This window comes from Homo sapiens, chromosome 15 (assembly GCF_000001405.40).
Source record: "Homo sapiens chromosome 15, GRCh38.p14 Primary Assembly".
NCBI classification, from domain to species: domain Eukaryota; kingdom Metazoa; phylum Chordata; class Mammalia; order Primates; family Hominidae; genus Homo; species Homo sapiens.
Genome location: NC_000015.10, coordinates 85,729,029 through 85,749,459, shown reverse-complemented (window position 1 = coordinate 85,749,459; position 20,431 = coordinate 85,729,029). Strand labels below are relative to the sequence as shown.

General features: G+C 44.2%; 1 protein-coding gene across 3 annotated transcripts in view; it reads right to left on the bottom strand.

The window, feature by feature from the left end:
• Window positions 1-101: 101 nt before the first annotated feature.
• AKAP13 (A-kinase anchoring protein 13) overlaps window positions 102-20,431 on the bottom strand; it is a 368,756-nt gene continuing 348,426 nt past the window's right edge. For 2 of the 3 annotated variants that reach the window (NM_007200.5, NM_006738.6), the window contains exons 30-37: window positions 18,753-18,947; window positions 14,310-14,468; window positions 13,830-13,900; window positions 13,326-13,370; window positions 9,188-9,238; window positions 7,965-8,414; window positions 5,635-5,968; window positions 105-4,832 (exon numbers count right to left, since the gene is read on the bottom strand). In NM_007200.5, the coding sequence (NP_009131.2) occupies window positions 4,783-4,832; window positions 5,635-5,968; window positions 7,965-8,414; window positions 9,188-9,238; window positions 13,326-13,370; window positions 13,830-13,900; window positions 14,310-14,468; window positions 18,753-18,947 (1,355 nt within the window). In that variant the 3' untranslated portion in view covers window positions 105-4,782. Of the gene's footprint in view, window positions 4,833-5,634; window positions 5,969-7,964; window positions 8,415-9,187; window positions 9,239-13,325; window positions 13,371-13,829; window positions 13,901-14,309; window positions 14,469-18,752; window positions 18,948-20,431 lie in introns of all 3 variants that reach the window. The other variant, NM_001270546.1, reaches the window with a different exon arrangement.

The following is a 20,431-nucleotide window of genomic DNA, read 5'->3' as shown; positions in this document are numbered from 1 at the left end:
CAGCTGCTCGGTGCATAAGGCGTCTCCTCAAGAGCTATGGGGGTGGATGGGGAGTATCCCTTCTACAGGAATCAGGAATAGGAATAAGTCACAGCACCAACCAGAACTTCACAGGAAATTTATTATTTTTTGAAAGGGCTGAGGGAGACTTTACAAGGGTCTGAAGCTGGTAACTAGAAAGAAAGATAAATAAAATACGAAGCCAGTATGTTGTGGCAAAATTCGAGAAAACACACTGAAAAAAATCTTTACAGTTTAAAACTGCTTCACTTTATACATAATTACAAATGAATATACAGCATCTGGGTTTTAACCCGTCTTTTTTATTTAATAGGATTTAGCACACAAATGTCCATAGAGCATTTGCAAACAAGCAATGAGAGCAGAGGTATCCGGTGTATCCCAACCACCCTCCTGCGGATCCCCACGCCTCCCCTGCGCATCCCATGCGGGCAGCAGCACACAGGAGACCACAGGCTAAGCCTGAACCACAGGCAGACTCACCAGGCACGCCCCATGGCCTGTGCTCATGCCCTCAGGTGGTGACGAAAGGTAGGGGAAGCTCAGGCCGGGGAAGGTGTGGGGGGTGAGTGCTTCCTGCAGAAGCCCCTCCGGACTGCAGCACAGGTGGTCCCACCTGGTTGTAGGGCAGGTCACTCACTTCGGTGGCAGGGGACACAGCCAGTGGGGGGTTGCACGCCTTTAACCCTTAGTGAGATGGAGAAGTAATTCATGGCCTATCAATCTTTTGACAATTAAATTAGATGAGTACTTGGAAAGATGCCTTTATTTTCCCTTCCTCCCCCCCGCCTCCCTTTTATGGCAGCATTAAAACACTTTTCATTTTAAAGCCTGGCCAGCAGGCAGTAGATTCCAAGGCTCTGGTTAACTAGGAATGCTTTGCTACATTGAAAGGAAAGTTCAAAACCAAGCCCAAACTCCCTGCCCTCTTCTTTGTCTCTGAGGATGGACGAGAGCGACGGGGCTGGCTGGGACGCATCCATAGGTGGCTGCGCACCTAGACGGTCCTGCTGAAGGAAGGCAAGGCACACAGATCTCCAGCAGCCGCTGCCCCAATTCCATCCACAGGGTTATTTCTAGGCTCCCACATTCCAAGGACATCCAAAACGCAGAGGGTGCACATCGTTCTGCAGTGTCTGGGGTCACCTCACAGCCACCCTCTTTGTGACCACTTGAAGCCCATTCACCAGGACTGTCTTTCTAAACTCCCTCCCAGGGCCTGCCTGGCTGTCCTCTGGGCACAGCTGGGCCACCATCATTAGAGTAAACCTCAACTCCAATGCAAATACTAAAATCCTTGGGAAGACCTGGCTACAGAAAAAGAGCCCTAGAAACAAAAATGATGAAATAGAAAGCACTTCTGTGGACAGCAACTTCTGGATCAAGTTCTGGCCTCTAAGGTTATAGTCCCACCCTCTACTAAGGCAGGGTCTATCTAGTTCAACCCTTGCATGCACTAACACCTCCCCTCCCACATCAAGAAACAACGCCAAAGGTCTCAAAACTTTGTGCTCACGACTAATACTGAGGCCTCAGGAAGGTAACAAATACGGGAGAAAATGAGCAAAGGGGCGACTCTGAATAGTATTACCCTGAGACACAGAAGGGGAAAAAAGTTAAGATTCGTACCTTTCCAAAAAAACCTTGGTAAGGATTCTTCCCCCCAGATAGCTCTCACGGGGGTAGAGGGAATACTGGCAAAGGTTGAAAGTGGCAGTTTGCATGTTTTTAACCCTCTCCATTTTCTAAGAAGAAAACACAGTCAATACATTTGATTGTCTTGAAAATGAAGCCAACCGATGAGAGCATTTAAAGTGCACATGTCACCTAACGACAACGACTGAGATGACTGGAATTGAGAGAAGACGCAGTCTCCTTCCAGGAAGCTCACTCGATTCTGGAAATCTGGGGGCTCTGGATAGGAACTCCATCTTTCCCCCAAAACTTAAGCACAGTTTCAGGCACGTGATTTCTTTAGCTTGATGGAGAACATGGTGTCCCGGCGTGGAAACAGTATGGGGAATTCAGTCCGAGTCACCCCAAAAAAACAACCCCTTCTCATGTGATAGAAACCAAGACAGGCCATTAGATCCAGCAACTAGAGCACTGTCAAGGCCATGAGCAAAAGCACAGGCAGCCACCATCCCAGGTAAATCCCCAGGACAGGAACAAATCCCCCTGAGGACAACTTCCAAGGGGGGAAGAGAGATGACAAAGGTATGTAAGCACAGTTCTTGGTAAGCGGTTCTGTTGCTGCACTGCAGACTGTATTCCTGGATGAAGTTGGGTGGTTTGAGGGAATTCCGGGCACTACTTTGATTTTAAACTTGTCCAACCAGAACCTGACCAAATCGTTTTGAGTGGGGTCTGGGCAGATGTGAAATCTCTATTTTTAAAAAAGACCACCAAAACAACCAAAGCAGATGAAACATCACAGCTGGGCGGGGAGTAAGAGACCCTCTAACATTGATGTCAAGCTCTGTGGCGACGTGCTCTAACTTCAGCATCCACGGTGTTTTTGTGAAGAGCACGTACGCAAGTAAATCCCATCAGCACCAACCTCGTATTGTTCCAAACCCGGAGAACAGGGGCACCCGGCCTACATTTACAAGGAGAAGAATGCAGGTTCAGTACTGCCCTCCTGCAAATCCCAGGAGGGGAACTCGGAGCCAGTGCCCAGAACAGACAGCCAAGCCCCGGGTAGATCTCAGGAAAGTCACGACAGATTCAGCTGTAACTTGGAGTTGTACAAATAGGTGAAAGAAAGAAACTTAACTTTTTGTTTAGGGTCTTTGCAAGGGGACATATTTTCAATAGAAAAATCAGCAGGTTTTGGCCTTTGGTCTGTTTCTGAAGGGTGAGTATTCTCCATGACAGAAAAAGGCAAAGGTAGGTCAGAGGTGGCGAGTTTCTTCATTCTCAAACAAGGGAGAAGACATCCTTTGATTAAAGAATGAGGCGGGGTGGGGGAGGGAAGGACATGGACCCCCTCCCTTTAAAATTTCATCTGGGCCTTCAAGGCACTTCAAAAGACACAGAGTGAACAGTGCTGGCTGCCACTTCACTCGGTATTGACTGGATAGTTTAGACTGTTGGGCTAGACCTGGCTCACCCTTAAAAAAAAACAAACACAAACACACAAATACAATAAATAAAACAAATGTAGGCTACAAATTTTAAACCAGACCTCTTTCAAATAAACTGAAAGATAAATATCTCCATCTGCAAGGCCAGCTTGCAATTCATCAATAAGCACCAAGTTACAGATTTTTCTTTTTTTAAGTGTGCTCAAAAGCCCCATGCTTCCGAGGGGCAAAAAAGCAAGAATTGAAGGCCACGTTGGAAGCACAAAATTTTCCAGGGCCTCCCTTCTGGTGTACGGGGCCTCAGAGGGCAACATTACCATGAACTGTCCTGCACACACCAGCTGGGGAAAGCCTCAAGTGAACAAAGATGAAAACACGGTGGGAAAAGCAAAAGCAAAGCCGAGCAGCAGGCAGCCATCTGTATCTGCTTCCAGGGGCAGAGTACAATTCAACAACAGACCTTTACATGTATTTTTGAAGAAATCCAATTTTGCCAAGGCCTCCTAACATAAGAAGGGCGCTTTCACAACCACGCCTTCCGGGCCAGCTCCTCTCCAGATCTGCACTGGCAGGAACTGCTACACATGGCTTCACCCTTCGCCTGAACCCACTTCTCAGCCAGCTGTCCTAGCTTCAGAGCACAGCTTCTGCCTGGCCTGGGTGCGAGGCTGACCCCTGGCAGTGGTGTGCCCTCACCCAGCAAGGGCCAGACAGCTGCTGTCTGGGAGAGGCACGACGGGGGCTCAGGAACACAGCCAGGAGGCCGTGGCCCCTTCTGAGTGGTCAGTGACAATCAAAAGGTGTCACGCTGCAGGGATAATGGTGAGTAGGCCTCTTCACTTTATCCATGGCCAAAACATGTGGGTAAACATGCTGGAAAACCAGGATATTTCTTCTGGATCTGATGACAGAATGAGATACTATGGGTTGTTTTGTTGCTTTAGTGCCTGAAACACCGAGATCGAGGTGGTGCACATCACGTCTTTTATACACATCAAGCCTTCTCTCACTGGTTTCACAAATGTTTGTCATCCCTAAAATGAAATGAGAAATACATGCAAAACACGGGTGGTATGTGCCCGGGATGGGTTTAGAGGGAAACCAGTCTCTGAGGAGTACTGGGTGAACTGCTGATATGCGGGGGCTCCGGGTCCGTCCAGGCACTGCCCTTGTGCTAAGTTGACCAGACGCCTGGTGCAGACTGGGCCTTCTTCTGGCATTCCCCGTGTGTATATGCAGACAGGTCCCCATGTACGTACACAGATCAAGTCCAAAACATCTGCTGTTTGGTTTTGTGTTCCCCCAAATAAAAGGCATTCGGAGGTTCAGACCTTACTTGGATACACTCTTTCAGCCTTTAGGAATTCCTGACGTGTCCAAAACCATCACCTGTACTTACGAGGCCATTACTTTCAGTGTAATCCTGAGTAGGGCCAGCCCAACCTGAGAGTCCTGGGCAGTCACAAATCATGGCCGAAGCAGAGTCTGGGCCTCCTTCCCCACCCGACACTCAATATCATCTGTTGCTTATTGTCCAGGACCTGGGGCCGCCCAGGAGGACTGGACGCTGAGGAGCAGTGGGCGTCCAGTGTAAGAGACTTGTGCACGCGGGGACAGCAGGAGAGGTGGGCTGGCCAGGATCAGGAGGCAGCTGCCTCAGCAGAGAGGAAGAGGGTCAGCAGAAGATCTCTTCACCCTCTGCTGATACTTCTGACGCGGGACCATCTGGAAATGTGAAAACCAAGAATGAAAAAAATTCAGAAAAACTGCTCCTTTCATTGAACTTCCTCCCCATCCCAAAGTCTTCTGTAATGCAAACAGGCGACTGGGGCTTATGGGCAATTAACTCTTCTGCGCACCGGGGTTTCTGAACAAATTTGGTTAATAAGGTTCTTAAGTGATATCCTTCACTGCCTAATGCTCCCTTTAACTTTTAAATAATCACTAGAATTTATGAAGAGGCCAGGAAAATGTACTTTTTCTTTAACCTCCCACACAGAAAGGAGAGATCAATCCTAAAGAGAAGGATTCAGGGGAAAAAGTGGTACATGAACAGGGAGGCATTTAGTGGAATTCAGCCGCAGGCTCTGTGGCCGCTGGCACATTAGTTAGCCTCTGTGAGCCTCAGTTTCCTCACTTCTCTTGGGGTTAGCAGTGCCAACTTCATACAGTCATTTGAGGGTTAAATCACCAAATGCTAGCTGTTACCAATGACTACTCTAGGCCCAGAAAGGCAAGGAGGACTTGAATTACTTCATTGAGGGGTGAGCTCCAGTTCCTCGATCGGATAATGCCTTGAAAATGAAACCCATGCTCTCTGCTTCTGCACACGTGCCACACAGAGTGGGTTCTTAATGTTCGCTGCATGAGTGCTCTTAGCAAGCGGAGCTGGTGAAAAGGATGGCAGTTTGGCTTTTGAGCATCTGAACTGTCCCCTTTTCAACCCCGCCCCATGCCACTAAAATCTACCCTCTCTCAGAATGCACAGACACTATGGCCACAGGGAGAGCAGGTGTGCGTGACTCACCACCGGGCTGAGAGCGGCTGGTTTTGTTCTTCTTTTTTTTCTCCTTCTTTTCCTTTGGCTTTGTTAACCCAAACAGGCGGGTAGAGGCAGAGGTGGACGCAGGGGCCTGGCTCTGCCCTTCTGGTCCTTTGTTTGTCTGGCTGGTTGAACTCAGTATGTGAAAAGGCCCCTTATCTTTGTGTGTCCGAGAGATGCTGTTCCTTTTTGGGGACACTGAAAGTTCTGAGTCCAATGACCCTGATTTGGCTATGGAAGGTGCAGATGGCGAGGGGGGCTCCTCAGGACTGGGGAAGAACGATGGGATCCTCATCAGCTTGGTATGTGGATGGGAAACCTGTACATATTCAAGAGAAGGGTTTTCACTTGGAGGCTGTCAGCGTCCGTGATGCCAACTCAATAAATCCTGGCTGAATTCAACTGGGTGTGCTGGCTGGGTACTTACCCACCTCTGCGAACTCTACAGAGCTCACGTCTGTGGACTGCATAGAGCTTGAAGGTTTCATTAGCTGCCCTCCCCCAAGTAGTATCTATAAACATGTTAAAAATATCGCCTTTAATGCTGTTAATACTTTTACTACATACACAAACGCCGGCGTTGTAAAAAACCAATAGTACCTTTGATGGGGCGACTTAGAAAAGAATTCCCATTCCCTGAAGAAACAAGGAGAGCTGCTTAAGATTGCTCTACACAGGGATGCAGATAATTATTTTAAGGCAAAGAGATTATAGAAGCCTGTTCCGGTTAGAGGATAAGTGGAAAAGCCGAGCTTACACCAAGAATCCTAGTCACAGGTTAAACCAGAGATAAAGAGGATCATCTACTCTGGGTTCTCTTAGCTGCCTGGGAACCCTCCTTTGTCAAAGCACCGATTTTATTGGGATGGGGGTGGAATCCCTCCTTATGTCATAAAAAGCAACACATGGCATTTGCTGCTCCCCACCCCCAATATATTTGGCAACATCTGCAGAAAGCTACAACTGCCCCCTACCCTGGAAGCTGTCAGTATAATTTTCTTTCGTGGTCCAAGATCAATCAATCAAACAAACGGCAACATGGTATGCATTTCAAAACACAGGCAGATCTGTGTACACCCAGGCTCTCCATCTGCCACAAGCATCCATGTTTCGAAATAACCAAGGAATATCACTGAAATAAGCTCAGGAGTGAGTGTGCTGAATAACCAAAAGCCTTCCAATATAAGCAGCAGCTATAGAGAAAGAGAGGTTTTTCATCAGCAGTAGAGAGGCAAATCAGGAACTATGCAGAGTGCAGCTGTCTCAACATCCCCAAGCAAGAATATCATCCATCCACGAGAGGAGTGGCGGCCTCCCCTAGTTGCTGGGATGGGCGTTTCCCTCTGTAACTGCCTCCCACCGATCCTGCCACATGGGTTCTTCCAGCAACTCTGGCCTGAGAGCCATTTCCTGCTGTCTCAGGACCACAGGCACCACATGTTCTGGAGGCTCTTTTATTCTTGGTGTGCTTCCCCATTAAGCTACAAGTTCCTTCAGGTTGGGGCCATGCCTGATTTCTGATGTGGCACAGAGCAGTGGCGTTGCTCCTAAAATCCTGGATGGCTGACTGCCATTTTCTCAGACACACTGAGACTCCTCTAGCTGAGGGAAGTGCCAACTCCAAATATCCATTACTGCCCTGGCCAAAATGCCCCAGCACTTCCATTCTCTTTTTCAGCCTCTTAGAGATGCAAAAAGCAGAAGAAGACTTTCTGCCTCTGCCTCTCTTTCGGGGTAAAACAAAGATTCTTTTTGTTTTTCTGTGTGTGTTTTTTTGAGACGGAGTTGCTCAGGCTGGAGTGCAGTGGCGAGATCTCGGCTCGCTGCAATCCCCACCTCCCCGGTTCAAGCGATTCTCATGCCTCAGACTCCCAAGCAGCTGGGATTATAGGCGCCTGCCACCACACCCAGCTAATTTCTGTATTTTTAGTAGAGACGCCGTTTCGCCATGTTGACCAGGCTGGTCTCAAACTCCTGGCCTCAAGAGATCCACCTGCCTCGGCCTCCCAAGGTGCTGGGATTTATAGGTGTGAGCCATTGTGTCCAGCTACAAAGATTCTTAAAAACTGTTTTTTTTTTTTGTTTGTTTGTTTGTTTTTTTTTTTTTTTTTTTAGGAGAGACAGAGTCTCCCTCTGTTGCCCAGGCTGGTCAAGCTACCCTCTCACCTCAGCCTCCTAAAGTGCTGGGATCACAGGCATGAGCATCTGGCCAAAAACAGGCTCTATATTTCTGCTCACTTTCTTACCTTGCTTAATACACAGGGGGTCTTAATTAATATCATCATTAGGTTGCTCTCGGCAGGGAGTCCCATTACCTGACACAGGTCCCGTTCTGTCTGCCGCTGGCTGAGCCGCTCTGCCTCCCGGCGCAGCTGCTCCTGTTCCCTCTCAAGCTGTTTCTGGGCAGCACGCAGTCGCTCCAGGTCATACTGGTATGTGCCCTTCTTCTGCTGGAGCTCCTCCCGCTCCTTTTCCAGGTCCTGCTGCCCCTGCTGCACCTCCTCCTCGCGCTGGGCCAGGAGGGCCTCCCGCTCCCGCAGCTCCCTCTCACGAGCTTCCCACTCACGCTCGCGCCTGCGCTTCTCCTCGAGGTACTGGGCCTGCTGCTTCTGCAGGTTGGCCAGGTCCTGGCGCTGCTTCTCCAGGCTGCGCTGCTTCTCCTGCTCAATGAGGGAGCTCGGGCGGGACAAGCTGCGAGTGAGCGCCCTCTCGCTCAGCACCAGTTTCTGGTCCTCAATGTAGCTGTCCTGCTGCAGCACCACACCCTGGGAGGCACACAGAGGGGAGCCCTGCAACTCTGGCCAGGACGACAGCGAGCTTCTGGATCCCTCCCGACCCCACAGCAGGGGGCACCAGGCACTATGACGGACTAGAACTCTCCCCTCATTTTTCAAGCCCGTCTCATAAAAATGCTCCAGGATAATTGCAGCTGTTTATCATACAAGAACCTCAAAGGTGCAGGAACTCACGGGTTTTTGTCAATCTGGTTGCATGCTGTTTGCAGTCAGTGGTATTACCTGGGGTGGGGGGGGGGGTGGTTGTGTGTGTGTGTGTCTGTGTGGGTGGGTGGGTTGTGTGTGTGTGTGTTGGAAGTGGGAGAAAGTAGGAACGAGACAGGTTAGATCTTCAAGAAAGGAAGTGAGCAGAATTTGAGGATGTTCCTGGGAAGTCCGAAACAGAAGCTGTATTAGGAAGGCCACTCTATTCAAATACCACAGAGATACGGAATATAGAAACTTATAATCATACTTAAGGCTTTCTAAAGTGAAGTAATCTCCCAGATGCATGTTAGCATGCTATGTGATTTGTAGCATGGTTATCAAGCCATGCCTACGGCACACCAGCTCTTCACTAATTCTAGTCCTGGAAGGTCGATGCATTCTGTAACTTTCTCACCACGAGAGCCAGTCTTCCCTAGACTGAGGGCCCCATTTATCCATTAAACATCCTGCAAACCTCAAAGATCCAAGTCAACAACAGCCCCAAGCTGCTGTTCTCTAGACAAATAAACGCAGGGATGGAAGATGAAGGCACGCACCTGCAGAGCGCTGAGGAGCTCGTAGAGATGAACAACGCTCTGGACAACCTGCTGCCAAAGGAACAAAATGGAAACATTCGTTTCAGGGCTTTATGAATCTCAGAATCCATCACACTAATGTTTACCTGATAAGATGGCTCCTTTAAGATACAACTAAATGCTTATATCTTTATGAAATATTTTCAAATTGAAAGCACCAAAGAAACTAAGTGAGCACCAGCAGCCAAGAAAAACAAACGAAGACCACAGTGACCTATGTATAGGAGGAACATCAGCACAAGTTAAAATGTAATAGAAAGCTTCCATTACTTAAAATGACTAGAATAAAAACAGCATACATATCAACGCAACAGAACAGAAATTCCAGAAACTTCTCATAACAATTTAGCATGTAAATAGCATTTCAAATTAATGGAAAGAATATTCAATTAATTGTTCTGAGAAAATTGGCTAAATTTCTGAAAAAAATTGAGTTGAGATCTTAGCTCACACACAAAAAAAGGTTCAAATATCTGAAAATGTTAAAGGCAAAAAATAAACCATATTTATGTCCAGCCAGGGCAAGACAGCGAGATCCTATTTCAAAAAGAAAAAAAAAGAGCTGGAAGGAACTAGAACTGTTTTCTAATCTTGAAACAGGGAAGGCTTTGCAAACACAGAAGTAATGGAAGAAACCAGAAGATTTTTTTCAAAAATTTCTATGTAAAAATGTAAAATTAAAATTAAAAGGCAAAGAACTAATAGAAATTCAAATGGAAAAATCTTTCATTTAAAAAAGGCTCTCATAGAACATTATGACAAAAAAAATACCCTAGTAGAAAAATAGGCCAGGAACACAAACCAGCAATTTACATTAGAAATATAAATGGCCAATAGCATAACATATTAAAAATTACTCAACCTTATTTGAAATCAAATAAATGCAAAATAAAATAAATGACCCAAACTTATCAAACGAACAAAAACTTAATAAGAATGATAATACTCAATGTTGGTAAAAGATGAAAATGAGCATTTGTATGTCTAATGGGTAGTACCAAGCACTGCAAAACCTCCTTTCAAAAGCATTTTGGCATACTCGGGAAATAATCAGAGAGCTGTGAAAAAACAATGTATGTACAAAGATTTTCTTGGCTCACTGCTTTAAAAGCAAAACGTAGAAAAACGGTTAACTATCACAAAGACTAAGTAAATTATGGTACACAATAAGATGAAGCTGTGCAACAGCATGCTTTGTAAAAACATGCCTTGGGGAAATGTTTTTAATGCATATTAAGAGGAAAAAAAGCAAGATATGAAGCTCTACGAAGTATTGCTATGAATTATGTAAAACTATTTTTGTACTATTCACACATATACAACTCGGATATGTTATGTAGAAGGCTGGAAATATAAACACCAAACTTTTTTTTTTTTTTTTTTTTTTTTGAGACGGAGTCTCGCTCTGTCGCCCAGGCCGGACTGCGGACTGCAGTGGCGCAATCTCGGCTCACTGCAAGCTCCGCCTCCCGGGTTCACGCCATTCTCCTGCCTCAGCCTCCCGAGTAGCTGGGACTACAGGCGCCCGCCACCGCGCCCGGCTAATTTTTTGTATTTTTAGTAGAGACGGGGTTTCACCTTGTTAGCCAGGATGGTCTCGATCTCCTGACCTCATGATCCACCCGCCTCGGCCTCCCAAAGTGCTGGGAAAACACCAAACATTTAACGGTAGCTATTTTTCAGTGGTGGGATTATGTTTATTATCAAGTAACTTATGTTACTTATCTACCATGAACATGTATTCCTTTTATAATACATTTAAAAACAAAACACAAAAATCTTAATTACCAGGCTTAGCTCTTCTGAGAAAATTTTTTACCCCTTATTCTTTTTTTTTTGAGATGGATACGGAGTTTCACTCTTGTCCAGGCTGGAGTGCAGTGGTGCGATCTTGGCCCACTGCAACCTCCACCTCCTGGGTTCAAGCAATTCTCCTGCCTCAGCCTCCTGAGTAGCTGGGATTACAGGCGTCCACCACCATGCCTGGCTAATATTTTTAGTAGAGACAGGGTTTCACCATGTTAGCCAGGCTGGTCTTGAACTCCTGACCTCAAGTGATCCACCCACCTCGGCCTCCCAAAGTGTTGGGATTACAGGCGTGAGCCACCGAGCCCGGCCCCTCTTATTTTATTCTTAATAAACAGAAGTAACAGAAGAACCTGCCGACTCTAGCTAAGCATTTATAGTGTCTAATCCATACTGGAATGTCTGAAAAACAAACAGGTCTTGTACTATTTCTTACCCTGATTCTTGTAACTAAATATAGAGGGAAAAGTCGCCATAAAGAAAAATCAAGGCCAGGAGCAGTGACTCACGCCTGTAACCCCAGCACTTTGGGAGGCTGAGGTAGGCAGATCACCTGAGGTCAGGAGTTCGAGACCAGCCTGGGCAACATGGTGAAACCCCATCTCTACTAAAATACAAAAAAATTAGCCAGGTATGGTAGTGCGGGCCTGTAGTCCCAGCTACTCTGGAGGCCGAGGCAGGAGAATTGCTTGAACCTGGGACGTGGAAGCTGCTGTGAGCTAATTTCAAGCAGCAGATCCAGAGAGCAAGTAGCTTCCATAAGCTCAGGTTTGTCATTTAAAGATAAGCACACTGAAGGATTCCTTCAGGACTCCACTGTATTTAGACTTTTGTGGCAACAAATATAAAACAATATCCTTCTGTATTTTAGGGGGAAAAAGGAAAGATTCCCCTTAAAATTTCAAAAATAAAGTTCCTTGGAGACTTTTAACTTAACGTTAAAAGCAAGGACAAGAAAAAGAAGAAACACAGTCAACATCCTTGAGAACTATACTCTAAAAAGCAATTATCATGTATCGGCTTCTATTCTGCTTACAAAGTCAGATACTCAGAATTAATTTTAGAGATGGCAGTAATCTGAAGATTATGTCACAACAAGGAGTCCTGGGGGTGGGATGGGGGATGGGCATCCTTCCAGAAGGACACCATGACTGCTTCACAGATGAAACACATATTAAGTCTAAAGCAATACTCAAAGAAGAAGATATGGCTGGGCGCGGTGGCTCATGCCTGTAATCCCAGCACTTTTGGAGGCCCAGGTGGGCAGATTGCCTGAGGTCAGGAGTTCAAGATCAGCCCGGACAACATGATGAAAACTCGTCTCTACTAAAAATACAAAAAATTAGTCAGGTGTAGTGGCGTATGCCTATAATTCCAGCTACTCGGGAGGCTGAGGCAGGGGAATCGCTTGAATCCAGGAGATGGAGGTTGCAGTGAGCTGAGATCGCACCACCGTACTCCAGCCTGGACAACAGAGCAAGATCCATCCCCAGAAAAAAAAAAAAAAAAAAAAAAGATGATGATATAACTTGAGTACTTGAAGGATAAGAAATTACTGTGTCAAATTACCCACAAGTTAAATGCCCATGTTCCAGACCTGTGGCTCTTAGTATCAGGCTTGTGATAGAGAAAAGGCTGCTATGAATTCTACTCAGTGTGCTTAGACCAAAGGAAACCACCACAGGGATTTCACAGGCCCTATTTAGAGAAAGCTCATTAAAAGCAAGAAGCGCTGGATAAGATGGCTTATGTCTGTCATCCCAGCACCTTGGGAGGCTAAGGCAGGTGGACTGCCTGTGTCCAGGAGTTTATGACCAGCCTGGACAACATGGCAAAGCCCTGTCTCTACAAAAAATACAAAAGTTAGCCGGGCATGGTGGCAGGCATGCCTGTAGTCCCAGCTACTCTGGAGGATTGCCTGAGCCTGGGAGGTAGAGGTTGCAGCGAGCTGGGCGATAGAGTGAGACCCCATCTCAAACAAACAAACAAACAAACAAACAAACAAAAAAACAGCAAGAGGCTTCCTTAAGGACAGAGAATCAAAGAAACGAATCAAAGGCCATCTTAGCAGGCAATTCTCTAACTGGCAAAATTCCAAGATGGTGCCCCTAGGACCAAAGACAGGGGAAAGGCCAAGGAAACTGACAACTGTATTGTTTACACATACAGATGATAGCCAGCAGTTAGCCTCTTTGTAACAGCAAAAAGAAAAAAAAAAAAGGAAAAAACAATATTCCTAACTTGACAATGACAACAAACACATATTTTCTTAAATAGTTCATAATGTCCTTACCTCACTGTTTCTTTTAAGCATAAATACCAGGTTAGCATTTCCACCCTATAAAACAAAAAACATACATATAAAAAAATGAAGATCTTGATGCAAAAATGACATTCAGTGTGTTTCTGTGTTAGGCTGTAGCTTTCCATTTTCTACCACAGCCTCTCACTAAGGTAGTGAAGGTTTAAGAGGTTGAACTATTTATCACTGATACCTTGTAAGGAGGTCAGGTCGGTTTGGAGCACCTGAAACAAACCTAATGAAACTGGTCCTGCCAGGACCATGGTAGAGTTATGAATGTAAACACACTGCCCTAAGCCAGTGAGGCCAAACAGCCAATAATGTGGAGCTCTTAACTGTACTATTTGTTTTAAAAATGTGATTTTCCCTGAAAATAATTTTATTAAAAGCAGCAATTCAGGCATCGAAAACAACATCAAAGTGAAATAATTTCAAAGGTTATGAATTCAGAGGAAAGTGCCAAGGAGGTTCATGGTGTATTTTAAAGAGAAATACCTTTTTTAGGCCACTATCTGATTCCGTTCTCCTAAGATCTTGGCCATCATCTCCCTCTTCCTTCTCGCCTCCTAAACAAAAAATAGGGTTGTTTTTTTTTTTAAAGTTGTGAAACAGATTAGCCAAGGAAAGAATATCATATAGGCATCTTGGGGATGTAGTATGTCTGAAACCTACTGATGCCCCCAAAAAGGGGGAGCTGCTTGGTGGCAGCTAAGTGATTATTAATAATTTTACGGATGCAGAAGAAATGGAAGCAGGAACATGTATTATTACTCTTTTAGCTGAGATCTTAGGAAAATCTTTTTTGTTACTCAAAATGAATATGAGTCTGACTGACAAGCTCTTGAGTGTCTTGAAATCTCACTAAGAAATTTGCTGATTGGGAGCGGTGATGTAGCTACTAAAGTACAAGTCATTTTGAGTTGTGTGAGATAGTCAAGGATTGCCTATAAAAGCTCATGACTTCACATCATTTACCTTTTGAAGCATTCATCTGATGGCTGTCAAATCCTCCAAAGGTCTCTGCTCTCCGGGGCAGGGAAACGGGACCGACCACATCTTGCTCAATGGGGCTGCTGACAGTCGGCCCAAGTGTGCCTCCCAGATTTCCACTCACCAAACCCTGAAGGATCTCCACTGGAATAAAGGAAACATGCAAAGCTGACATCTTATCTTTCAATGAGGGGAAAACAAGTTCATAGTATATATGATACGTACAAAGAGCACGACTTGAAAGTTCCAAAGAGTGACTGGGTGAGTTCCTTTGCTCAGAGAAGGGTCTCAGCTCAGGGTATGTGTTTTAGTTGGATTCTACTAGAAATTTAGAGATGAGACCTTCCACTTTATATGCAAGAGGCCTAGGAAATTTGAAAGTGTACAGGGAAGGCAGAGTAATTTACTAGAAGTGACATGGCTTCTGGAATCATATCCAAAGCAGACAGAAGATATTCCCTGGAAAGTAAGATGGATTGATTTGAGAACAGCAAGTAAAACAGTCAGGATTTCTGGCTTTGCCAATATGGAGTGAGTTCAAGGGGCTAGAGTAGTCTAAGAATTTGCATCTCAACTCTGGCCCACTAGGGTTCTTTTCTAGGGTATGGCTCACAGAAAGAAGAAAGTGGAGAAAATGGAATAAAAGTTAAACAGGAGAAAAATAAAAAGATAAAGAAAAAGAAGGGCCAGGTGGAATAAGGGAGGGAACCAATAGCAGGAAATCTGATAAGACAAGCCATATTAAAAAAGAAAAACTACACAAAAATGATAGACGAGTCCTATGGTGTGAGAAAAGCTATCTGAACCTGTAAACTTAAGACACTAATTTCACATAAAAATGAGCAATAGAAAATATTGAAGTCAAATCCCATATAAAGTTAAGAACAGGGAGTGATGGTGGGGAGAACACAGGGTCTAACTTCTCTACAGATAATAAAAGCACATCGGAAAGACATGTCCATAAAATAGGTGACCAAAACACATTAAGAAAATGACAAAAGACAGCTGGGTGCAGTGGCTCATGCCTGTAATCCCAGCACTTCGGGAGGCCGAGGCGGGCAGATCACCTGAGGTCAGGAGTTCAAGACCAATATGGAGAAACCCCGTCTTTACTAAAAATACAAAAAATTAGCCGGGCATGGTGGTGCATGCCCATAAACCCAGCTACTCAGGAGGCTGAGGCTGAGCCAAGATCGCACCATTGCACTGCAGCCTGGGCAACAGGAGCAAAACTCTGTCTCAAAAAAAAAAAAAAAAAAAAAGAAAAGAAAGAAAAGAAAATGACAAAAGACATGAAAGAACTAACTTAGGTCAGAATTAGAAAACACAGAAATGAAATAGCAAAGCTACAAACAAAAGAAAAACAATCATTATAGAAATCAAAACTAAACTAGAATATAAGAGCAAATTAACCCAGCAGAAAATGGCTTAATAAAAAAGAAGGTGAAAGGAAGACCATTTAAACATTAAAAAGATGAAGAGATCAAAAGTATTAAAAGAAAGTGACCAACACTGAAGATAGACAAAGAAGGTCCAACATAAGGATAAATGGAGACCTTGAAGAAGACCAAAGCAAAGGGAACAGGGAAAATAGTACAAATTATAATTCAAAAATAACTTCCTGAAATCTGAAAAATTTGAAACCACATATGAAAACAGAACACTGTGAACCTGACAGCATCAACCTAGGGTAACAAATACCAAGGAATATTCTTGTAAAACTACTTGTACTTAGAAAAAAATCCTTTGGGCATCTAGGCAAAGAGCATGTTACTTACATGGGGAAAATCAAATTATTATCAGTCTCTGATGGCAATACTTTATGCCAGAAAAAAAAATAAAACAACATACTTGAGAGTAATTAATACCTTGGGGAAGAAAATATGAACAAGCCAATAATTTTATATTCAGCAAAATAGGCTTTCAAGTATAAAGGGCATAAATTATTACCAGCATGAAAGAGCTCATGGACTATTACTCTCATGAACCTTTCCTGAGGCACATGCTAGAGAATCAGCTTCACATATCCACATGACTAGAGGGTGACTGACCTAAGAACTTCTGGTAAGCATGAAGTATGTTCACTTACAGAACAAAGACTATGGTCAAGGCTTACAAGGAGAGCATATGGCATGTAACAGTTATAAACTGACAGCGTAGACACAGCACAACTATTTTTTCAAAAACGGGAGAATGCGGACAGCAAGTAAAAGTCATATGTAGTGGTAGCAGCATTACTATTAGAATATATTATTATCAAAATAGTGTTAGTAATACTATTAGTATTACTAACAGTATTAGCAATAGTAATTAGTAAATTAGTATTAGTTAATAGTAATAGTAATACTATTAGTATTACTAACAGTATTAGCAATAGTAATTAGTAATACTATTAGTATTACTAACAGTTATGAGTAATAGGTTGGATAAAGCCAGAAAGTAAATATATAATATTCGAATTCTATGATGTATCCTTAAGAACAAGGATTTGCAATGTGAAAGAAAGGAAATAGAGATGTAATACTAAATAGGTTTAGTTAAAAAAACAAACACTGTAGTCCACAGTTTAAGAATATCAATGTGAATTCGAAAGTGTAAATATAAATTTTCATATACACATTTTATGTTCAATAGGTATTTAAATTATATATGATGTAAAACATATAATGTTATATTATGTTATATAATATATATATAATGTTATATATATGTTTTTCCCCAAGCTCTGTCCACTGAAAAGGCCCAACCTAGTAACAATCAACCTAGCAGCAATGACCACTCCCAGTACCCAGACTGTGGTCTGAAAATATAATTTCCCACTTAAAGAATCCAGAACTCTTGGAGAAATGGCTGATACCAGGACTGGGGCAGAAAACAATTAAGATGAGCCTGGAACAACTTACTATACCAGTAGCTCTAAAAGACTACTATGGTCACGTCCACAGGACTAGAAGCCAAAGAAAGAGGTGTTCACAAAAGGAACATTCTGAGCTTTTAATAAGGTTAGGAATTGCAATGACTTGAAATCCATCAAACGTTTTTTTTTTTTTTTTTTGAGATAGTCTCGCTCTGTTGCCCAATCTGGAGGGCAGTGATACGATCTCAGCTCACTACAACCTCTGCTTCCTGGGTTCAAGCGATTCTCCTGCCTCAGCCTCCTGAGGAGCTGGGACTACAGCCGCATGTCACCACACCTGGCTAATTTTTGTATTTTTAGTAGGGATAGGGTTGCACCATGTGGGCCACGCTGGTCTTGAACTCCTGACCCTCAGGTGATCCACTTGCCTCGGCCTCCCAAAATGCTGGGATTATAGAAATGAGCCACCGTGCCTGGCCCCATCAAACATGTTTCAATTCATGAGTCCATAATAAAAACTATGGGTCACTTTCAGAAGATGTTCATGGTCTTAAAAACTGGTAAATAAATGGAGGGGAAAAATAATCAAGAATTTATCCTTTTATCTTTTCTTATATGTCACAAAAAAAGAGACAACTAGATATTTATGCCTCCTCAATGAAAGAACACAACACTATAAGGGCACAATTTACCAAAGAGATCAAGTCTGAGTAATTAATTACGCCTCTGAATCCAGCTGCAAATCTGAAGGAAACAGACAACAGGACTGTATGAATAAAATCCAAACTGTGGGAAACTCTCTAAGTCAAAAAGCTCAGATTGTTCAAAGATAAATTATATGGAAAAAAAAAGATGGTGGGGGGAACTGTAAATTAAGAATTTTAAGATGCATATCAAAAAACATAAGCAAATTAAACTATAATGTCTAGGAGTAGGCACTTAAGCCATAAAGATATATAAGTAAGTGATTAATGGCCGGGTGCAGTGGCTCACGCCTATAATATCAGCCCTTTGAGAGGCCAAGGTGGGTGGATAACTTGAGGTCAGGAGTTTGAGACCAGCTTGGCCAACATGGTGAAACCCTGTATCTGTGAAAAATACAAAAATTAGCTGGGTGTGGTGGTGCACATCTGTAGTCCCAAGCTACTTGGGTGGCTGAGACAAGAGAATCACTTGAACCCAGGAGGGGGAGGTTGCAGTGAGCCGAGGTTGCACCACTGCACTCCAGCCTGGGAAACAGAGCAGCAAGATCCTGCCAAAAAAAAAAAAAAAAAAAAAAAAGCATAAGTGACTAATTAAAAAACAGTCAGAATAACTGCTCCTTTTGGAGGGAGGGAGGTGTGATGGGGACAGAGCATGTGGAGGAAGGGGCTTCAGGGCCCCTTTAAGTTCTTGATGTGAGTAGTGGTTAAAAGGATATTCACCTGATAATTTACTATAGTGAAATATTTGTTTTGGGTAATTTTCTGCATTTGTGCTTTAAAGTAAAAAAGTAAAAACTGGCAGGTAATATTAGTGTGTAAACCACTCTGGGAGTAGATGAAGAGGGGGCAATGCTGAATGTTAATTACCCTCATTTATTGCACTTTTCATTAAAGGTCCTCCTTTGAGAGCCTCTTCTGTGTTGGAGCGGAAGAGAACTCTAGGGCTATGTGTTGGGGAGCAATCCTCTGGGAGAGGGGTGCTGCACTCAGCCATGTCCCGGAAAATCATCTCCTTCTCTTCCAACAAGAGTAGGATTTTTTGGTCCTTCTGGTGAAGTTGTTCTGCAGGAAGGAGAAAATGATCTGTGATTTGATTGGTGTTTAGTAATTACGAGAATGACTAAGACACGAGCACCACCTTGTGGTAATTTATGGAAAGTGACAAGACAGGACACCCTCCCCACCCACACTGCCTTTTCTTTTTCATCAAGACAGCAATATTGTTTCTGTTCTGTGATTTCTATCTGGAAAACCATTCTGGATCTTTCTGGCAAACCATGGAAATTGTGACATAACAAGTCTGCACTTTGCTTCCACTCCCGTGTCCCCTGTTTACTTCTCAGCCCACTACTCTCTAGCTTCTGTCCACTCTGCAACTGCTTTCCCAGCTCAACTTCATGACTGAATCCAATGAGGTCTTTTAGGTTGTTTTTTCCAGCATTGATGATTACTTCTTCCTTTAAAACATGTTTCCTTCTTTAGCTTTTAGGACACCAGTTCTCTTCCTACCATTCTTTCTCAGGACACTTTACAGATCTGCCATCTGCAATGGAATCTCTTATCTGGGCTCCTGTCTCAGCTCCATCCTGAGCTGTCTTCTTTTTTTTTTGTTTTTGTTTTTGTTTTTTGAGACGGAAAGTTTCGCTCCTATTGCCCAGACTGGAGTGCAATGGTGCACTCTTGGCTCACCGTAACCTCCACCTCCTGGGTTCAAGTGATTAAGCGATTCTCCTGCCTCAGCCTCCTAAGGAGCTGGGATTACAGGCATGTGCCACCACGCCTGGCTAATTTTGTATTTTTAGTAGAGATGGTGTTTCACCATGTTGGCCAGGCTGGTCTCGAACTCCAGACCTTGGGTGATCTGCCCGCCTTGGCCTCCCAAAGTGCTGGGATTACAGGTGTGAGCCACCGCACCTGGCCTGAGCTGTCTTCTTTACCTTACCCACTTTCCTCTTGAGGATCTCATTCATCCCCATGGCTTCAATGACCTTCTATATGCTGATAATTCATTAAACCATCAAAAACCCTCCCCTTTCTTAGCAGCAGACCATGGCGCCCACGTGGCCACCTCTACTGAGATGCCTTGTTCTCAGCACGTGAGAAACCAATCTTTTCTCCAGCCCACTACCTCCTCCCTTTAGTGTGGAATCTCTTTCTCAGTCAACAACTCTTCATCTTCCAGGTCACCTGATTTGGAAACCTGTGAGAGACTCTGTCTCCTTACTCTGTCCTACCACCAACCGACCAGACTCTTTTTTTTTGAGACAGAGTCTTGTTCAGCCACCCAGGCTGAAGTGAAGTGCAGTGGTGCTACCTCGGCTCACTGAAACCTCTACCTCCCTCTGCCTCCCGGGTTCAAGCGATTCTCCTGCCTCAGCCTCCTAAGTAGCTGGGATTACAGGCACGTGCCACCACGCCCAGCTAATTTTTGTATTTTTAGTAGAGATGGGGTTTCACCATGTTGGTCAGGCTGGTCTCGAACTCCTGACCTTGTGATCCGCCCGCCGTGGCCTCCCAAAGTGCTGGGATTACAGGCATGAGCCACC